At 37.3% G+C, this 21,883-nt stretch overlaps 1 protein-coding gene and 1 non-coding gene across 4 annotated transcripts in view; both read left to right on the top strand.

The window, feature by feature from the left end:
• WDR26 (WD repeat domain 26) overlaps positions 1 to 17,030 on the top strand; it is a 49,652-nt gene extending 32,622 nt beyond the window's left edge. For all 3 annotated transcript variants that reach the window (NM_001115113.3, NM_025160.7, NM_001379403.1), the window contains exons 9-14: positions 1,107 to 1,226; positions 3,142 to 3,287; positions 3,583 to 3,661; positions 3,950 to 4,079; positions 8,163 to 8,348; positions 12,316 to 17,030. In NM_001115113.3, the coding sequence (NP_001108585.2) occupies positions 1,107 to 1,226; positions 3,142 to 3,287; positions 3,583 to 3,661; positions 3,950 to 4,079; positions 8,163 to 8,348; positions 12,316 to 12,341 (687 nt within the window). In that variant the 3' untranslated portion in view covers positions 12,342 to 17,030. The remainder of the gene's footprint in view (positions 1 to 1,106; positions 1,227 to 3,141; positions 3,288 to 3,582; positions 3,662 to 3,949; positions 4,080 to 8,162; positions 8,349 to 12,315) is intronic.
• On the top strand, positions 3,865 to 3,949 carry MIR4742 (microRNA 4742). Its single transcript, NR_039896.1, has one exon. It is a non-coding gene; the product is annotated as a microRNA 4742 (primary transcript).

Genomic DNA, 21,883 nt, shown 5'->3' with positions numbered 1-21,883 from the left:
CATTTCCTAATCATACCCTTTGTTTTCACTCTTTTATTTCTACTTTTGATTACCCATTTCTCACAGGAAAACTATCCCCATGTACCTTTTATTATTACACCAAGGGCAGCTATTATCTCTCAGATCCTGTTTCTAATCCATGAACAAAATGGAATCAAGACTAGATTAAATGGTATGTGTATACCTTCTAAGTTGAGTAATTCAGAAAATGTAACAGGAGGATACCTGAGGGTTGTAGCCACTAAATATTCTTACTTAGAAATGCCACGGAATGGCTATGTTAAACAGTACACAGGTTCCTCTTTCTAGTACTTTTCATTGAAATAAGGTTGTGTATCAGAAAAATGTTTTTTTCTCTCTTTCTACCTTCCCTACTATATTGTGAGCATTTGAATATGAAATTTAACATAATTTATGTAGACTGCCCTTTGCCTACTTTATGGGCATAGTTTTTCTCTTTTTTTTTCTTTTTTCTTTTTTTTTTTCTTTTTTTTTTTTTTTTTTGAGACAGTCTCACTCTGTCACCCAGGTTGGAGTGCAGTGGCATGATCTCAGCTCACTGCAACCTCCACCGCCTGGGTTCAAGTGATTCTCGTGCCTAAGCCTCTTGAATAGCTGGGATTATAGGCATGCACCACCATGTATGGGTACAGTTTTTTACTCATTAATCATGTTCTTGAGGAATTGCTAATTGCATTAACTGCAGTTGTAGAATAAAATTTATAAAAAACTTTGGACTGAGAAGTGGAAGCTCAGAAGGAATAGGTATGTAGTCTTGGGCTTTTCATTATCTTGCTTGGGAAAAATTACATGTTTTAGTTTATGCATATAATTGATTTGCGATGAGAGATTTATTGAAGTTTATCTCATCATATCTACTCTTTGGGTTACCTGTGCCAGACATTGTTCAACTGCTGGGTTTTTCTTCAAGTTCTTAATTTCTCTTCTGAGTGCTGTTGTCTCTTTTTTGTAGGGTCACTTAATTCATTACTCTACTTAGAATGAACTGGGAAACCAGCCAGACATCCCAGTTATTTTTTTTTTCTCACATAATTCCTTTAGAGGGGTATCTTGAAGGTCTCATTTACAGTTTTATTTCCTTATAGACAGGAGAACTAAGGACAAAAATGAGCCAGTCTCATGAAGACAGTTTGACAAGTGTGGCTTGGAATCCAGATGGGAAGCGCTTTGTGACTGGAGGTCAGCGTGGGCAGTTCTATCAGTGTGTAAGTATTCAGTGCCCCCTTCCCAGTATCTGTTGGTTTAAAAGCAAATGTACTTTTGTTTAAACAATTTCCTTGACTCAGTATCTTACAAAGTATACTCTGTGGGCCAGGCATGGTGGCTCACACCTGTAATCCCAGCACTTTGGGAGGCCGAGGCAGGTGGATCACCTGAGATCAGGAGTTCAAGACCAGTCTGGCCAACATGGTGAAACCCTGTCTCTACTAAAAATACAAAAATTAGCTGGGCATGGTGGTGGGTGCCTGTAATCCCAGCTACTCGGGAGGCTGAGGCAGGAGAATTGCTTGAACTCAGGAGGCGGAGATTGCAGTGGGCCAAGATCGCGCCATTGCACTCCAGCCTGGGCAACAAGAGTGAAACTCTGTCTCAAAAAAATACATAAATAAAACAAAATATACTCTATGAACACCTACTTTGCTGTCGTCGTAGACAAGCGCTGTCCAATAGAATTTTCTGGGTCATTTTTTTCCTTTCTTTTAAACATTTCAAATGTTTGTACAAAGTATAGACTTTGGATTTAGTAGAACAAAAAAATGTGTTTTGCTAAACATTTTTGTTTTTATGAGCAAGTTTCTAATTTATAAGAATTGAAAAGATTTTTTAAATTTCTTTTGAGATTTTTGTAACCAAAAAAAAAAAACACTGAATTTTATGAGTAGACTCCCTTTAATATTTGAATAATAAAAGTGGTGACAGGTGCTACCAGAGTACTTTTCAATCTTTGTGTCAGCTTCTAATAAGTAGCTGCCCTAATTATTTTGAATTGTTGGAATGATAAAAATAAGTTTTATGGCAAGGTAAACTTTATATCATAAGTATCATTTATATCATAAATCATTGTTTACCTTGCCATAAAACTTTCTCTGTTACTTGCAGTGTAGTCTAGATTCTGTGTCTCATATTACAGACTCACATGGTCCCAGTATGCACGTCCACATTTTTTTTGTTGTTTTTTAAGAGACAGGGTCTTGCTCTCTGCCACCCATGCTAGAGTACATTGGTGTGATCATGGCTCACTGCAGCTTCAAACTTCTGGGCTCAAATGATCCTCCCGCCTTGGCCTCCCAACGTGCTGGGATTATAGGCATGAGCTACCACACCCGACCCCAGATCAATTTTTTAAACTAAAACAAGATAATAAATCATTTAATTTAGCTAAAACAGGTTATCAGTTTCTTTTATTAAGCTCGTTTGGAACACATGGATTTTGGTGTTATATTATCTCAATATGGTTATGAATTGTTCTTAATTCCCTGCGTGCAAGATGATCATGTATGTTTCTGCTGAGTTTGCTGTCCTATACTGTGTTAAGCCATCAAGATACAGGATTATCTAACTTATAAAATGGGAAGGGTTGTTCCTCTCAGAACTTTGGATATTCAATGAGATAATGACTATAAGAGCTTTGATCTGTAGAGCACATTACAAATTTGGTAAATTTTTGAAAAATGTCATTAACAGATTCCTCCAGTCTGTATGAAGCTGTAAAATGTTTTAGAATCTTTTTCCATTTCACAACTCCTAAATATTAGGACAAATTCCAGTATAGTGAATTTTAAAGGAACGTTTAAATTGTTTTTGAATAAAAGTAAGACCTTACTTGGAACTTAGGGACTGTTTCTTTCTTTGTGTTATTTATGCATGGTGAGTTATTGAAGGGAAGATAGAGCTACAAAGTGTCTCTCTGCTTTCCCTTAAGTATGGTTGTAATGAAATTTGAACTATATTCAAATTTTCATGGTTAAAAACACTTCTAGAACAATTAGGTTGAGATCAGTCTCAGGAAAAAAAAAAAACCTGTTACTAAAAGATATTGTGAAGGGAGTCTTTTGGTTCTTTATTTGCTTTCTGAGTGCTGTTGAGTAATGAAGTTAATAGTAGTTTTTTCTTACTCAGGACTTAGATGGTAATCTCCTTGACTCCTGGGAAGGGGTAAGAGTGCAATGCCTTTGGTGCTTGAGTGATGGAAAGACTGTTCTGGCATCAGATACACACCAGCGAATTCGGGGCTATAACTTCGAGGACCTTACAGATAGGAACATGTAACTATTTTTTGTTTCCATTAAACAACAATTACCTGATTTATATTCAAATGTGTAGTGGAACTTGCCTTTTCACAGTTTTTATGTTTTTCGTTTTGGTTTGCGTGGTAATTTGGATTGAAGGTCACATGGTACTTAGTAATCAGTAACTCAGATTCTTCTCAATTGAAGTATAGTATGTAATAGTGATTGCAGGCAAAATTGTCATACTTAAGCTAGCACATCTTATGTATTGATAATTTGAATGTCTTGACTGTTAATATGTTGTTTTTGACAAATTATTTTCTGGTTCCAGAGTACAAGAAGATCATCCTATTATGTCTTTTACTATTTCAAAAAATGGCCGATTAGCTTTGTTAAATGTAGCAACTCAGGTATGTTTATTAGTATAATTTTCTGAAAAATTTGGCTTAGTACAAGTTTTATTTTAACTGTTATTTTCAGTGTATTTATATTAACAAAATTTTCTACTTACCCTTAAATTTGATTGCATGTGATTGATCCTTAAATGTGTATAATCAACCATAAATTTGTCAGAATGTTGGTATTTTGCATAATAGAAAATGAAGATATTTCATCAGGCAAAGGGATATTTACAGATACTTTTTAAAATTTGTTTGAGTTGAGGCAGATTAAATATCTGTATTCTCCTTTGCCTGCAGGGAGTTCATTTATGGGACTTGCAAGACAGAGTTTTAGTAAGAAAGTATCAAGGTGTTACACAAGGGTTTTATACAATTCATTCATGTTTTGGAGGCCATAATGAAGACTTCATCGCTAGTGGCAGTGAAGGTAAATTGTGTCCTTATCAGTTTACATATGTTGATATTAAAGTCTGTAAATCTCAATTTATGAAGGCAGTCATGTCTCCAAGAAAATTCAGGGTAGTAAGTTAAAATTCTTTCATTTATCCAATACACGGTTAATTTCTCTCTGTAATGACCTAAGCCCCTGTATTATCACAAATTGTCACATGCTGTCATGTATTACTTTCTCCTTTTCTGTAATGACCTAAGCCCTCCATATTGTCATGTATTGTCACGGATTAGCAGTGCTTATTCTGACCACGTAGCAGTGTGTTTGGTGCATGTGTCTAATCAAGATTTAGTTAAATTATTATACTTTCATATGTTGACTTGTATTTTCATGGGACTGATGGTTTTTAAGGGTTGGTAGTATCTGAAAAATCAAGGTTAATTATGATGCTCTACCTGAACTTGGACAGATTTGACTATAGTTAGTTCTTCAGTATTTCTTCAGCGGTCACCAGAGTTATAATTGAGTTTGATAATTCTTAAGATTTTAGGAAAGCTGAAATTATTCTTCCTACTACTACCCTTTTGAATAAACTTGTTCTCTAATCTAAAAGTGTCAGTATTCCAGACAGGAATATGCCTAAAGTCACTCTAAAGTGTGAATTGTTTAGAAGATGCAAGCACAAATAAGTGAGGCAGTAATAAAAATTAGTGTACTTTTTAAGGCGATAGGAACTTAACTAGTGGCAAATTATTGCAAGTTTTTATTCAACACATTTTTCTTCAATACCCACTGTACATTTCTAGGTACTATAAAAGCAAATTATTTAAGTCACTTTTTTTGGCCGGGCATGATGGCTTACACCTGTAATCTCAACACTCTGGGAGGCCTAGATGGGAGTACTGCTTGAGGCCACGAGTTCCAGACCAACCTGGGCAACATGGCTAGACACTGTCTCTACAAAAAGTAAAAAAATATATACTGAATCTGGTTTTATAAGATAGACCAAGGAATTAGATTATGTTATGTTCCATTTATTGTATAAGATGTTTACTATCCCTATCTTGACAAAAAACTGATCTTGGTAGATAAGAGGATCATAAAGTGCACATGAGGTTTACCTTTAAGAATAAGGCATATTTAAGGATTGGGACAAAGAGAGACATTTAGAGATTTAGATTTTAACATCAAGCATATAAATTCATCTATTCCTTTTCTTTTCTTTTCTTTTCTTTTCTTTTTTTGAGTGCAATGGCACGATCTTGATGCAACCTCCACCTCCTGGGCTCAAGCAGTCCTTCCCTCCTCAGCCCCTCAAGTAGCCCCAACAAATTTTTGTAGAGATGGGGTTTCACCGCGTTACCCAGGCTGGTCTTGAATTCCTGAGCTCAAGCAGTCTACCTGCCTCAGCCTCCTGAAGTGCTGGGATTACAGGCATGAGCCACCGCGCCCAGCCTGAATTCATCAATTCTTTCTTTCTACCGAAAATCAGCGTCAGATGAGATTGGGAGGAAAGAAGAGTGGTTAGGTAGCAATTGGGAATTTACTTTTTTCCAGTCAGGAAATTTAGTTTTTTCCACTACTTCTAGATTCTCTATTGGCTTTTTGTTTTGTTTTGTCTGTCTGTTTTTAATATATCGCGGGAGATAATAGACATTAGTTTCTAATTAAATTTTCCTGTGGTCTAAATATGTTAAGCCTTCTTGCTTTTAAATTCCTCCTGTTTATAAGATGTCTTCTTCCATGGTCTATTCAATCCTGCTTCTGGTAGGTTTTCTTTCTCTTAATTATGCCTGAGAATCCCTTACAGCTCTTTCTGTGTACCCTAGAGGTACTTAAAATTATGTATGGCTACCATTATCCCTAGAAAAGCCAAACTTTTTTTTAAGCCCAAACTAACTTAGAAACAACGATGAATACTATAATTAAACCACATTATCTTCTGGTTTAGGGCTACAAATTAGACCACTGTCAAGTACAGAGATTAGTCTTCTCATGACTCAAGTGATTTAGAATGGTTTTGAAAATGTTTTGAACATCAATCAGATATAGCGAGTATATTATCTCCCAGGATGACCACAGTAATCCATTTGCCATTTATTTGTAAGGAATATATTTCAATGACCCTCCAAATCCCCAAATATATAAGTGCCAGTATAAAATAGAGCAATTAAAAACCGTTTCCCAAAAAAGTTATACCACTACTCAAGCCTTTTCATTGTGCTGGCAATATGTAGAAAAACTGGACTTTTTTACCTTTGCATAAACAATAGATTTCTCAGATTGATACAGCAAACAGAGCTTGATGATAAAGCCTGTCATTTTGACCTTGATTACTTCAAACCCGGTTTTTCCTGCCTTTCACCAAATGTGCTCCTTGAATATATATTCACAAAAACATTTTCCACCAAATAGAGAAATATTCAATTGCATTCACACTTTAACCCTGTGATCCTTCTCCTTGTGGACCTCTTCAGTTTAGGAAGGAAATACAGCTAACCTGTCTTTACTTTTTTTTTTTTTTTTCCTAATTTCATTTCATGTAAGAAAAAATTATTTTCAAAAATTATTGAGCAGCAGATACTTCTAAGAAGATAAATTCAGTTTTTAAATTGGTGCCTTTTAGCTTTTGCTTCACACATACACACACAAAAAGTTCAGATACAGTTCCAGCTTTTTATCTTCATGTCAGAAATTTTGAAGCTAAGGCACATCCTCTAAGGTTTCCTCAACTGGCAGTACACCCACTGACAGTTTGCACATTGGCCATACTTAACTGATATATCATTAAGTTATACACCTTTCTAATTTGCCCTGGGATTCTGCCCTCTGTTCAAGAACCATCACCTGTACTTAATCTCGTCACAGTAGTAAATGGTGTTTATTCCAAACACCTTTCCACATACAAATATATTTAATCCTTATAACAACATGATATGAGGTTAGTATCCCCATTTACAGGTGAAGGGTTGTAAAGAGTAATTTGCCCAAAGTTGCTCAGCTAGTCAGTGTTGGAGGAAGGATACAATGTTGAGTAGTCTGATTCCAGAGCCCATACTCTCAACCAATACTCTCTATACTATGTGGCTAGTTTTTTGAAGATTCGTTTATTACAAAGAAAGCTGTAGGGGATTTTGATTGTTGTGGTCACTTCATGAGATTATAGTCTACAAAGCCATATCATGATGCAGATAAGGGACCATTGTCTACTCTCACTAGTAAGCTCTTGAGCAGGGCTGCCTGGATTTGAATCCCAACTTTACCATTTACTAGCTGTTAACCATAAGCAGACCACTTAACCATAACCTATGTTTCAATCACCATTAAGAGGATAAGCAGGCGGGGCGCAGTAGCTCATGCCTGTAATCCCAGCACTTTGGGAGGCTGAGATGGGCGGATCACGAGGTCAGGAGATGGAGACCATCGTGGCTAAACCCCATCTCTACTAAAAATACAAAAAATTAGCCGGGCATGGTCACACACACCTGTAATCCCAGCTACTCGGGAGGCTGAGGCAGGAGAATCGCTTGAACCCGGGAGGTGGAGGTTGCAGTCAGCCGAGATATTGCCACTGCGCTCCAGCCTGGGCAACAGAGTGAGACTCCGTCTCAAAGAAAAAAAAAAAAAGGATAAGCAGAATACCCATTTTATGGGGTAGTGATGAAGATTAAATAATATGCATTAAGTACTTGATACCTAGTACTTTGTAAGCACCCAATAAAGGTTTAGCTGTCATCTTCATTTTTGCTTCAGTATTCAATTTGGATACATTGCTTTTCTGTCACTTCCCATTTCCATAGAATTTATCACTATCTCTATCCTGGATTTGTTTATGTTCAAAGGCCTTGATTTATAATTCTTCATTACTCATGTATTGACAGAATATTGCAGATAGTTTTTTTGTGTGTGACTTGATGAGAGCTGATCACCTTTAACAGGAAAAAAGTGTATATTTGATTTAAACATTTTTTCATAAGGTAACATGTTAAACTATTCATGGTATATTTATTTTCCCTTTAAGTTCTAGTAAAGAGTCCTGTGTGTAGTGAATGATAAATTTAAGATCAGTTAGTTGGTTTTATTAATGTAAAACTTTTTTCTGAATTACTATATGTTCAGATCACAAGGTTTACATCTGGCACAAACGTAGTGAACTGCCAATTGCGGAGCTGACAGGGCACACACGTACAGTAAACTGTGTGAGCTGGAACCCACAGATTCCATCCATGATGGCCAGCGCCTCAGATGATGGCACTGTTAGAATATGGGGACCAGCACCTTTTATAGACCACCAGAATATTGAAGGTAATACCTTTGTATAATGTTACTATGTTTTGTCCAAATGAAACATCACTCGGCTTATTATGAACTTAAAGCAGTTTTAAGCAAGTTTATTTAAAGTGTGGTATATGATTTCTCTCTTTTACATATTGTACCCTATCTCAGGCCACAGAATGAGTTTAAGTAGTGTAAGAGCCAATAATGTAGTGGTTGTTTTGGGGGGCACAGTGAAAAGAATAAGCTGGAATATGATACCTCATTGACATCCAGTTAGCTATTTAGTAGTTTCACTTTAAAAATGTTACTGAAAATCTTGCTTCGTCATGCTACCTAAACGTAATATTGTAGGAAGAATTTTATACACATGAAACTAACCATACAAAATATTAACAACTTTAGATATTAAATATCTTGATTATAGATTTTACTCTTTAAAAAAAAGTAAACGTCTGTTTGCACCATGCATCATACTAACATGAGTTGTGTTTAATGGATAGGGAAAGAGAAGAGAGAACTAAAATTGATCATGTACCTGTGTGCCAAGCAGCATGCTAATCCCTTTACATATACTGTCTTGCATAAAGTCTTCATAGTCCTATAAGGGAAGTATTTTTATCTTTATTTTTAGAGGTAAGGAAACTGCAGCATGGCAAAACTAATTCACTTGTTGAGTGCCATCAGGTCTTCAAGTCTAAGTCTGAAAGGTTTTTTCCACCACTTTGAGATACTTGGGGATGAAGAAAGGCCAAAATATAAGGCTAACAGTTAAAGCCAAAAACTTAATTGAACATGATATATCAGTACTACAGCAAAGAGATAATGAGAAACTTCATGTAAATGACTCTCTTAAATAGAGCACGTAAAATGTTTGGTTTGCTTAGAAGGAAGCAGTTTATATATAAACAGATTTTTTGTTAAGCATGTCCCACCTAAATTTTTTTTTTTTTTTTAGTGAGAAAGATGACTAATTGCTCTCAGTTAAGTGATTCTCTGTGGAGGAGGGTTATCGGAGTAGCATGTATGGTTTGAAAAAGTATATTCCCTACACTTTTATCTTTGTGGTACAGACTGTAGAAGGCTTGGCCACATCTTACTGGCGGGTAAGGATATGCAATCAGAGATGAGAATACAAAACATGAAGAGCACACGAGTCAAAAAGTTTGAGAACTACTGTTCATTTGCCCAGAACCTTGAAGGGTATTTTTGTATTTATAGATCACTACCTGACATTCTAACATTCCTCTAGGAAATCAACTAAGACCAGAAATCTTTACCTTCTTGTGTTGTCCTGTTTGGGTTTCAACCAAAGGCCTACAAACCCAAAGTCTTTATAGATCTGCAACTGTGATTCAATCTGTGCTTTTCTCATTTTATTAGTCATTTGGGAGTTATTTCTTCAAATAAACATACTTGGTTTAAAGAAGTAGGAAAATACTAGGTATGTAGTAACAGATTTACTCCAGAAGAGGATATGTTTTCTTTTCTTTTTTTTTTTTGAGACGGAGTCTCATGCTCTCTCCCAGTGTACAGTGGTGCGATCTCGGCTCACTGCAAGCTCCGCCTCCTGGGTTCACGCCATTCTCCTGCCTCAGCCTCCCGAGTAGCTGGGACTACAGGCACCCACCACCACGCCCAGCTAATTTTTTGTATTTTTAGTAGAGACGGGGTTTCACTGTGTTAGCCAGGATGGTCTCGATCTCCTGACCTCGTGATCCACCCGCCTCGGCCTCCCAAAGTGCTGGGATTACAGGCATGAGCCACCGCGACCAGCCAGAAGAGGATATATTTTATGCCTCCATAGCAATGGAATAAGAGTGTGCTGCTATTTGGTGAATCTGACTAATGTAGATCCTCACTTTGGTGAGTGAGCCAAATTTTGGCTAATTTGTAGGATCTGGGTCCAGTTCAGCAACTCTCCATTGTGCTTTGGCAACATGGGTATAGCCCTAAAATGATTTTCATTTTCACCTGAAATAGAAAAAACAGTACTTGTATAACCAGATGTTTGGCTATAATGTCCTTTTCACAAGTTATTTTCTGGAGTATTCCCCCTCCACCCCCAAAACACTTTTTCTAATTAAAGTAATACCTATTTAGAATAGAACTTACGAAAAATATAGATGAGGCTAAAGAAATCAATATTAAAAAAAATCAAAATACAGCCAGGCATGATGGCTTGCGCCTGTAATCCTAGCTACTTGGAAGGCTGAGGCAGGAGGATCCCTTGAGTCCAGGAGTTTGAGGCTTCAGTGAGCTATGATCATGCCACTGCACTCCAGCCTAGGTGACAGAATGAGACCCTGTCTCTGAAGGAAACAAAAAAGGAAAAATGTAGCACAGTAAAATACTATAAGTCATTTAAATAAAAATACACTCAACTCCATTTCAAAAGGGAAAAATTTTAACAGTAGAATTATGGACTGTAAATAAAATAAAATTTTAACAGTAGAATTAAGGTTTTTTTTTTGTTTTTTTTTTTTTTTTTTTTGAGACAGAGTTTTGCTCTTGTTGCCCAGGCTGGAGTGCAATGGCGCAATCTCGGCTCACCACAACCTCCGCCTCCTGGGTTCAAGCAATTCTGCCTCAGCCTCCTGAGTAGCTGGGATTACAGGCATGCATCACCACGCCCGGCTAATTTTGTATTTTTAGTAAAGATGGGGTTTTTCCATGTTGGTCAGGCTGGTCTTGAACTCCCGACTTCAGGTGAAGTCGGCCTGTCTTGGCCTCCCAAAGTACTGGGATTACAGGCATGATATTTTTTTTTTTAAGGATGCATAAAATGGAATAGAAGGAAGTACCGATGCATGCTACAGTATGAATGGACCTTGAAAACAATATGCTAAGTGAAAGAAGCAGGACACAAGACCACATATTATGATTCCATTTATATGAAATAGTCTAGACAGATCTATAGACAACATAGATATAGTGATTACTTAGGGCTTGGGGAAGTGTTTGACTGCTAATGAATGTTGAAAATGTTCTAAAATTGATTGTTAATGATTGCATAATTCTGTGGGTACACTAAAAACCATTGATTTTACACTTTTGTTTTTTTTGTTTTTGTGTTTGTTTCTGTTTTGAGATGGAGTCTCACTCTGTCGCCCAGGCTGAAGTGCAGTGGTGCAATCTCGGCTCACTGCAACCTCCGCCTCCCGGGTTCAAAGTGTACACTTTAAATGGTTGCTTTGTATAGAATATGAATTATATCTCAAAGCTGTTATACACCTCCCCAAAAAAATGGAGTAGGATGATACTGTAGAATTTCAAACAGAGCAACCAAAAGGAAAATTAACAACTCCATAGTTATAACACGTTATTCTACCTTAGACTGCCAGATCTTTCTTTCCTCTTTACTATTGTAGCTATCATAAAAATTTATCTATTCTGCTAACTATCTCAAGGTTAATTTTAAAAGTATGAGATTCTGAGGCTAGGCACGGTGGCCAGTGCCTTATAATCCCAACATTTTGGGAGGCCAAGGCAGGCAGATTGCTTGAGCTCAGGAGTTCAAGACCAGCCTGGGCAACATGGCGAAACCCTGTCTCTACAAAAAATACAAAAAGTAGCCAGGCATGGTGGCATGTGCCTGTAGTCCTGGCTACTCAGGAAGCAGAGGTGGAAGGATCACTTGAGCCAAGGAGGCAGAGGTTGCAGTGAGCCCAAATTACATCACCAGCCTGAGCAGCAGAGTGGGATCCTGTCTCAAAAAAATAAAAGCATGAGATTCTAACATGATTATTCACTTGGGTTTCTTCAGTATTCAAAATCATGAATTTAGATCATAATATATGGTCTAAGACATGATACAGACATTGTTTTAATGAGTATGATGAAAGTTTCAAGAATTTGCTTTGATTTTTTAATGTTAGTATAATTTTGTAATGTCATAATGCTAATTTTGAAACTTTCTAACTGGTAATTTTTTTCTCTCCTTCCCCTCTTCCCTCCCCCGCCCGCCCCCCATACATTTCATCTTGTCTTCATTCAGAGGAATGCAGTAGCATGGATAGTTGATGGTGAATTTGGAGCAGACGACTTCTGTTTAACTTAAAATTAGTCGTATTTTAATGGCTTGGGATTTGGTGCAAACAAACATGATTGATAGCTGGACAGACATGCTCGTCATGAAAAAAGAACCATTTCTGAAGCCCGATTGGGGCCAAACATTTACACCTTGCTTCATAGTAACCAGTTGAGATGAAGCACGTCGTTAGAACGTTGTTGGACACCATGTTGAATTATTCCCCCATCGGTTGTGAAGAACTGTGCTACATTCAGGCTTACCCATTGAACTCAGTATATATATTTTTTTCCTTCCTGTCTTTTGTCTGGCAGGATACCATTCTTGTTGCTCTTCTGTGTAATGAAGTTTAAATGCTTGTTTGGAAAACTTTATTTAACAGTTTAGAAGGCTTGATAGAAAGAGTGCATTAGTCTGAAGAGTATACATTGGATAGGAAAGAATTTCCTTCTTTTGTTTCTCCAAATCTTTCCGCCTTATTTAGCTTGAGATCTTTGCAGCTTGGTTCATGGATTCTAGCCTTGCCCGTTGCGCAGTATATACTGATCCAGATGATAAACCAGTGAACTATGTCAAAAGCACTCTCAATATTACATTTGACAAAAAGTTTTGTACTTTTCACATAGCTTGTTGCCCCGTAAAAGGGTTAACAGCACAATTTTTTAAAAATAAATTAAGAAGTATTTATAGGATTAAAGTGACTTCATTTGTATACATTTGGAATCTAAACCAGCTTAAAAACAGTTTCCTCAATGACTTAGATACACAGTATAACTGATGCTCTTCTGGAATACCACATGAGACATGGTCAGAAACAGTGCTTGGAAGGACATTACACAAGAAATTCAGAGTAATGCTTTGAAGATTTCCCCCCTTTTGTTTTATTCCTGAAGGAACATCAGTACCCGATCTTGAAGAAATTCAAGATTCAAAAAGAATTTTAAATACACCAACATGAGACATCAGTAGTCAGTTGGTTTTCAGTAAAGCTTGTTCCAAGTTGTTCTCAACTTAGGAAGTAATTTTGGTGTGATCTAGCAAAAGAGTAGGAATCAGCGATACAACCACTTTGGAAGTTTATAGTATAATTGAAATTATTAGAAGAATTCAGCAGGTTACAGACATACTTAAACTGGGATTAAAACCTCATAGTCATTTTTCTTAATTGCCCTTAATATTTTGACATATAGGGATACATAAATTTAAAGAATATTTTTTCTCAGTTTTTTCAGATATTGCCATACTGAACCTCATTCTAAACTGGTGCTGTGGATAGTCTTTCCCTCTCCCCTCCTGTTTTAGTTTAAGGAAAGGTTTCCTTCATGGAAAAGCACTTTTAATTTTGAGAATTTCACATTTAAAATAAGCCAAAAGCCTGATGTTCACATTGTGCTTTTAAACTCCGTAACAGCTGAATACAACATAACATAGTCTCCCTTGAAATTCCCTCCCTTTTTCAGTAGAGGATAAATAGGGTGACTCCAGCTGTTGGAATGAGAATGGGGATACCCCCAAAATAAGATTCTGGTGAAGAAAAAGTCTTGTACTAAGTTCCCCTTTAGGTGTAGCCAAGTCTATAATATAATTATGATCATGAATAGACTCCAGAATCCACAAAGAGAAGAGGGCTTGGATGTCAAAAATTCTTCCATTGTGGGGTAGGTGGTCGGGGATGGGAGAAAGGGAAAAGTCAGGGAAGGGGAGAAGAAAGAAAAACACATTTGGCCTTAAAATAGCATGCATTCTCCCAGAAGCCCATAGTAAAGAAAATGACAGATCGTGGTCAGCAGACTCTTATCAAATTGGTATGTAAAAGATTTCTTCAAGCTCCATTTTGCAGAGACCACCACTTAGAGAATCAAAAAATTCCTGTTTTGATACTTCTAAGTTAAAATATATGTTACAGTTTATCTGGTACTTCATTTTTCTTAACTAAAATTACTTTTTACTTTAAGCTTGAATAAAAATCTTCATTGGTAACTGTATGTAATTAAGTGGCAACTTCTCTTTACCTCAGTATAGTTAAAAACCATTCATATTTTAAGTGATTCATGTATACCCTGAAGCCGTTAATACACCCCAGTCTCTATGGTAACATCACTAAATGTGGGCATAGAAACTCCACAGCTGTTTACAAATTTGGTTACAGTGTGCTACGGTGCATTTGTAACACTCAGATTTGTGCCCATTCAGGGGCAATTTGGCACTCAGATTCTACTCTACTTCACCTAACCACCCCTAGATCTGAGTTTTCAGAGTGCTTCTGAAGTACAGTTTAAAAACACTTTTTAAAAAGTGGAGTAAAAGTGAGGCACATTTTACAAGAACATAACTCCTATTAAAACGGAGTAACAACTATGCAAAGGTTTCTATAGCAGCTAGGTGAGTTTGTTTTCCGGGTCTGTCTTAACTGGCAGCTTCCTGTACATACTGGTACTTATTTGCTGTAAACGTCTGTTTCATACATTTGCCATGCAGTGACTGTGCTCGAAAGGTGAAATCAATGGTAAAGAAGCCTAGGATTTTATGGTATGAGAAACTGATCGCAGGATTTTCTGATCCATAGCTATTAATTGAAAACTTCTGATAGTGCTGTAGGCTCTATAGTAGGCTTAAGAGTGAGTCTTATACTATGAAGCCAGCCACAAGATACTAACAAATGTATAAATTGAAAAGTACCAATACTTTTTGCACATAGATCAAAATAGAGTGGAGAATTTGGGCTCCAAAAATCAGGTTAGTAGGCTCATTTCCATGTGCTTAAAAATGTTTTTGTTGTTATGCATTGATTAAGGGCTAGAGCAAATATAAAATTAAATGTCTTTTTCCTCCAAATAATTGGTTATTAATGGTAAAATGTTGGACTTGGGGATTACTGAGATTAGTATGTGGGTAGTAAAGAATTGGAGTGGGAGTTAGTGGGGAGGGATGACAAAGCTTCAGCTTTGGTTTTTGTATTTTTTTAGTCTTCATAACAGCTACATTTCTGTTGCTCTTATTGGCCAGATAAATGTGTTATATTAAACCAGGTAAGTATTTTAAACAGAGAACATTTTATTTGCATATATCCCTACAAATTGGCCCATTTTATTGGGTGGGGGGATAAAAAAGGGATTCCCTAACTTTAAATAATCAGAATATCCTGCAATTGAAAGGAGAAAAAAATCCAATTTTGTCAGTATTTTCTTAGTCTGAAAAAAACAGCAGTAGTAATCTGGTGAATGTTATTATTAGGAGTGTTCTGCCTCTACAGTGGCATATTCCATGACATTAATAGAAAACCCTTCTTTCCCACCCCTCCCCATCTTGACATTTTCTTTTTTAGGATGTTGGTTCCTGCAAACAAGAACTGACCCTATCACCTCTGCCTCACAGTGGGTAAATATATCATACATCTCTTGAAAGGGAAAATATCCATGTCAGTTTCTTTCACAGTAGAAGAATGGCTGCTTTTGAATGGGGAGGAAAGAAGACATTTTTCTTAATATCCTTTTTGTCCCATCTCTAAAATGTATAAATATTTTGATTTGGTTTTACTTTAATTTCTCATTCATAATTTCGCAACTGTCCTTTTGGGTTGCCCTCCAACACATTACTTCCATTTCAGAAACCATATCTGATTTAATATAAACTGCTAACTTAAGAAGAGGTGAATTTGCATTTACACTTAGACACTTTCTAAAAACAGGGTGAACTTAATTGAAATTTTTCAGTGTTGTTAAGCTATTGTTATAGTAGCTGCCCTATAGTTACAAAAATAAAAACTATAAAAACCCATCCCCTATCTACTTAATCCAGATAGCCTGGATTTAACAAAACCAATAGTATAAAAATGTGTGTGTGTGTTCTGTGTGTGTGTGAGAGAGAGAGTACTTGATTCATTAAAAAGTCCTGGAAACAGCTGTTCTAGGATCTTGTCATTTTTACTGAAAGTCTCGTGCACATGTGAAGTGCCCTCTGAGTTTAAGGTTTGGTTAATACTGGTATATTTTTATAAGATTGAAATTGTGTCCCCATCTTTAACTTAAACATTTTCATTATCAGGGTCAATGTGCTAGAACTGAATTGTAACATTTTTAGGCACAGATGGAAAAAAATGTTATTGGCTCCTTGAAAATGTGTGTGTGTGGCGAGGGGAATAGATCCACAAAAGCATGTATGTACTTACAAACCAAGCTGTAGAGATCAAGAAAAGAACTTAAGTGTTGATCTCAAGATTTCTAAATTGTCAAGATTTACATGGCATTGTGGTGGAACTAGTTAACACTTAGAGCTTTTGGTATGTAATAACTATTTGCTATGGACTGATTAAATGTTTCAAAAGATTGTGTTCTTCAATTTTGGTGGGTTTTGATTTTTGTTTTTTTAACTGCCTCTCAGATTATATTTACTTAGTTTAAATTTCTTTGCTTTATTCATTAAAGTATAAAAACTTCAGGTCTCTGATATTTATTTTCACTTGTTTACTAATTATTTACAAAACACCCTTTGTTGACTTTTATTTTATAAATGTGTAATGTATTAAACGTCTTTAAATTTTTGTTCAACTGAAACTACATTAACTTTGATTTGCTTTACTGGGATTTTTTTTTAAAGACACTTTTTCCATGTCAGTGCGCAGCACTTAACCAGTCGTTTGTATTCCCTTTCTTTCAATCCAATAAACAGAATGAATACCTAAATAATTCTTGGTGTGTTACATCTCCTAATATCCATTAATCTGAATGTTTAAGTAGTACTCTTTTTGCCTAAAACATTTGCTGATTTTTTATGTATTTTAGAGAGAGTCTCACTGTGTTGCCCAGACTGGACTTGAACTGCTGGGCTCAAAATATCCTCCTGACTCAGCCTCTCAAAAGTGCTGAAATAACAGACACAAACCATCATGCCTGGCTATGATTTGCTGAATTTGCCTTCCATATATGTACCTAGAGTTTGTGAGTGATAGCTAAAGAAGCAGTGGTTAGTCTGTTGGGATCATCTTTTTTTTTTTTTTTTTTTTTTTTTTTGAGACGGAGTCTTGCCCTGTCGCCCAGGCTGGAGTGCAGTCGTGCGATCTCGGCTCAGTGCAACCTCTGCCTCCCGGGTTCAAGTGATTCTTCTGCCTCAGCTTCCCAAGTAGCTGGGACTACAGGCGCCCGCCACCACGCCCAGCTAATTGTTGTATTTTTAGTAGAGATGGGGTTTCACCATATTGGCCAGGCTAGTCTCGAATTCCTGACCTCGTGATCCACCTGCCTCGGCCTCCCAAAGTGCTGGGATTACAGACGTGAGCCACCGCGCCTGGCCTGGGATCGTCTTTTTAAGGGCCACTGTGCATTCATGGATAAACTTAGAAAAATTTTAGGAGTATTTGCATTTCAAAGGAATTGCATGCCCTATTTTGTTCAAAAATAAAGTTCAAATGTGAAAAATAAGTATTTGGCAGCCGACTAATGGTGAGTGTAGCTGTGAGAGGTATTGCTTCCATAGCTCACGGCTTAGAAAATCATGGTTTGCAGCTTCCTCTGATTAACAGGAAAGAGAAGGAAGAAGTTTTTCTACTTGTTTTCTTTAAATACAGCTATACCTTAACAGCAGATTTAGCTAATTTAGTCAGTTTATTCATCTACATTTAGAGTTCCATGCCAATTCCCAGGACCAGGTATAGAAATTTTCTCAGTCTTAACAAATCTAAGAGTACAGATTTTTTTTTAAAATACAATCTGGCCGGGCACAGTGGCTCACGCCTGTAATCCCAACACTTTGGGAGGCTGAGGCAGACAGATCACCTGAGGTCAGGAGTTCAAGACCAGCCTGACCAACATGGCAAAACCCCGTCTCCATTAAAAATACAAAAATGAGCTGGGCGTGGTGGCCGGCGCCTGTAGTCTCAGCTACTCAAGAGGCTGAGGCAAGAGAATCGCTTGGACCTGGAAGGCGGAGGTTGCAGTGAGCCAAGCTCGCGCCATTGCACTCCAGCCTGAGCGACAGTGCAAGACTCCATCTCAAAAATAATAATAAATAAAATACAATCTAATTCTCTTCCACTTAAGCAAAAGAAAAACTGGTATTTTATTACATCATTTAATGACTTCTCTTTTCCAAAAAAATCTAAAACTTAAGATTCAACAAACAGAAGTATTCCCCTCATCATATCACATCGTTCAAGAATCTTTGTTGTTGGTTTTGTGGCAGTAGGCTCTTCTCCCTCAAACTTGATTAGCCTACTTAAATGAGCTTGCTATATATGAAACATTCTAGTCATGTACTTAAAGTTATTAAATCAGCATGTAATTATAGCTAATGTGGGAATCAAAAGGACAAATAGCAAATTTTCAATCAAGTTTATTTTGTTGTGTTTTGTTTCTTGTTCTCAGATGAGACAAGTTTTAACTTCCCTTTCTGATGTAAGGAGTAGTGGCTTCCTTGGTCATGATATTAAAGTTGGCGCAACTTTATGTACATTCGTCCTTCCTATATGATTAAGACTTTAGAATTCTTTCATACGCTCAGGAAAGACATTTAAGACAATTAGCCATGGTGATAGAACAGATCTGGAATAAAAGTGATTTCACTGCAACTTTAGCTTATTTTTAAAAACATAAGAAAATGCCTGTGTGGCTTTTTTCCCTACTGTTTTGAATATAAGAAATAGAGCTACACATTGGATTGGAAATTGTATTCCAGGTAGTTTCCAAATGTTGAATAATTTTCCCTCATCCCCCATAGCTGAAGAATATCAGTTTGTGTCCTAAGCATTCAGAAAAGGGATCCCTGATTTTATTAACATCAACAAAACTTTTTAAAAATCTTTTTTAAAGAACAGGCAGATGCACTTCTGATAGGAAACAAAATACATTTTGGATCTATATGCTATATTCTGTAAAAGAAAATTAACTGTAGATGAACATGCCTGAACCTTTCACAGGTAAGTATGTTTAAGTGGGCTTTTTTGTCCCATTAATGGATTTGCATGAAAAGACCTTTTCAGTAAGTTTCTGTTAACTTGTACACAAACTAAACAACTAAATTGGTTTTCCTTTTTCTTTCTGTTCTTCCTCTTAGTAAAAGTAGACAATTGGAGTGCCTGTTAGATGCCAGGCACTAAGCTAAGCATTTCACGTACATTATTTAACTGTCTACTGTAAACAAGTATTACTGCCCACTATTTTCCAGGTGATAAGCTTGAAGATATAACCTGTTATTCCAAAGCCTGCAATTTTAACCTCTAAATCCAAATGCATGTGAGTCAGTTGGGGGCTTTTCTAAGTTTCAGATTTCTGAGGCACCTTTCAGATCTCAAAAGGGAGATCTGGAATTTGTGTGTGTGTGTGAACACTCCAGGTAATTTTATTTTTAAGTTTTTTTATGCAGAGACGGGTAGGGGGAGCGTCTCACTTTGTTGCCAAGGCTGGTCTCGAACTCCTGGCCTTATGCAGTCCTCCCACCTTGGCCTCCCAAAGTGCTGGGATTATAGGTGTGAGTCACTGCTCAAGACAAGGTAATTTTATGCTGTCAGCCTGGTACCAATTCATTTGTTGGTGTTTGAAAACCAACCACAAGACCATAATGCTATGTTACATCAGTGAAAAGAACAAAAAGCAGGAGCAAGAAGGGCATTCGGAGGAACTAACCACATTAATTTTACACCTATTTCACATACACCTATTTGGTTATTGAGCAACAAGTATTCATTTGGGTGCTTACTGTAGGCCAATCACTATGAGTGTGAGCCATTCATATATATTCTCATTTAAATATCAAAGTAGCTTTGTGGGGCAGATATGCTAATTCTCATTTTACAAATGAGGGAAATAGGCTTTAAAAGGTATATGTATGAAGGAGCTGGGACTCAAACCTAGGTGCCTCTGAGCTCATGTTTTTAGTCACTACACCATATAATATTTCTTTGGTGTCTATAGATGGCCACTTACCTTGGAAAAATTGACTGTTAAAACTTGTCAAAGATAGATGAAAAGTTTAAGGCCCCACTTTGATTCTAGTGAACTCCTTAACTGACAGAAGGAAATGACACTTGAAATTCAGGAGACTCCTTCATATTGATTGCTTCGGGGTTTTTTGTTTTTTTGTTTTTTAAGTCTCGCTCTGTCACCCAGGCTGGAGTGCAGTGGTGGATCTCAGCTCACTGCAACCTCTGCCTCCCAGGTTCAAGCGATTATATCACGTCTCAGCCTCCAAGTAGCTGGGACTAGACACGCACCACCATGTCCGGCTAATTTTTGTTTATTTTTTATTTTTATTATTTTTTTGAGATGGAGTCTCACTGTGTTGCCCAGGCTGGAGTGCAGTGGTGCGATCTCGGCTCACTGCAACCTCTGCCTCCCAGGTTCAAACAATTCTCCTGCCTCAGCCTCCCAAGTAGCTGGGATTACAGGCACCCGCCATAACGCCTGGCTAATTTTTGTATTTTTAGTAGAGACGGGGTTTCACCATGTTGGTCAGGCTGGTCTGGAATTCCTAACCCTGTGATCCACCCGCCTCGGCCTCCCAAAGTGCTGGGATTACAGGCGTGAGCCACCGTGCCCCATTTTTGTATTTTTAGTAGAGATGAAGTTTCACCATGTTGGCCAGGGTGGTCTTGAACCCCTGCCCTCAAGTGATCTGCCTGCCTTGGCCTCCTAAAGTGCTGGGATTACAGGCATGAGCCACCGCACCCGGCCTGATTGCTCTAATTGTAAAACAGACTCAAGTTTTGTAGAGGGAAACCTCCACAACAAATTTTAATCTTTTTTCAAGAGACAGGGTCTTGCTCTGTTACCCAGGCTAGAGTACAGAGATGTGATCATAGCTCTCTGTAACCTTGAACTCCTGGGCTCAAGCCATCCCTCCACGTCAGCCTCCCAAGTAGCTAGGACTATATAGGTGCCTATATCGGCTAATTTTTTTTTAAGAGATGGGGTCTCACTATTTTGCCTAGGGGTGTCTCGACCTCCTGGCCTCAAGTGATCCTCCCACCTTGTCTTTCCAAAGTGCTGGGATTACAGGCATGAGCCACTGTGCCTGGCCTAGATACTTAATTCTAAGGAATTGCCAGTTTGTGTGACACTGCTCCTCTAGTCGCATGTGTTTTAAGAACCCTTATCTTACAGAGAAACATACTAAAATATGACAGATGTAACAAGGTCTGGGATTTGCTTCAAAATGGAGGGCAGTGGAGGGCAAAGAAGGTGGTAGGTAATGGATAAAAGAAGAATGACTGTAAGTTTATTTTTTTTCTCTGCTGTTTGAATCAGCAAGTATGACCGTAAGTTGATTATTGTACCTGGTAAAATAGAAAATTACCAACTAACACGGGTAAATCCTATTACTCTGTCCCAGAAAGTTGGCAAATTTATATAAAGCTACCCCAGAGGATTCAACCTGCTCCACAGGTCTCTTTCTGATAGATACCAGTGGCAGTCAAATGTGTTACTTTTAATTAAGCAACACGAGAGGTTCAATTCTCACCCAGTTTGCATCCAACCTGTGAAATAAGATCTAGAAAACAGGAATTAAAGTGTATGTTCAACTAACTCACATTCTAACTAGGTGC

This window comes from Homo sapiens, chromosome 1 (assembly GCF_000001405.40).
Source record: "Homo sapiens chromosome 1, GRCh38.p14 Primary Assembly".
Classification (NCBI taxonomy): Eukaryota; Metazoa; Chordata; class Mammalia; order Primates; family Hominidae; genus Homo; species Homo sapiens.
The sequence above is the reverse complement of the archived record's forward strand: the minus strand, read 5'-3'. Positions and strand labels throughout refer to the sequence as shown.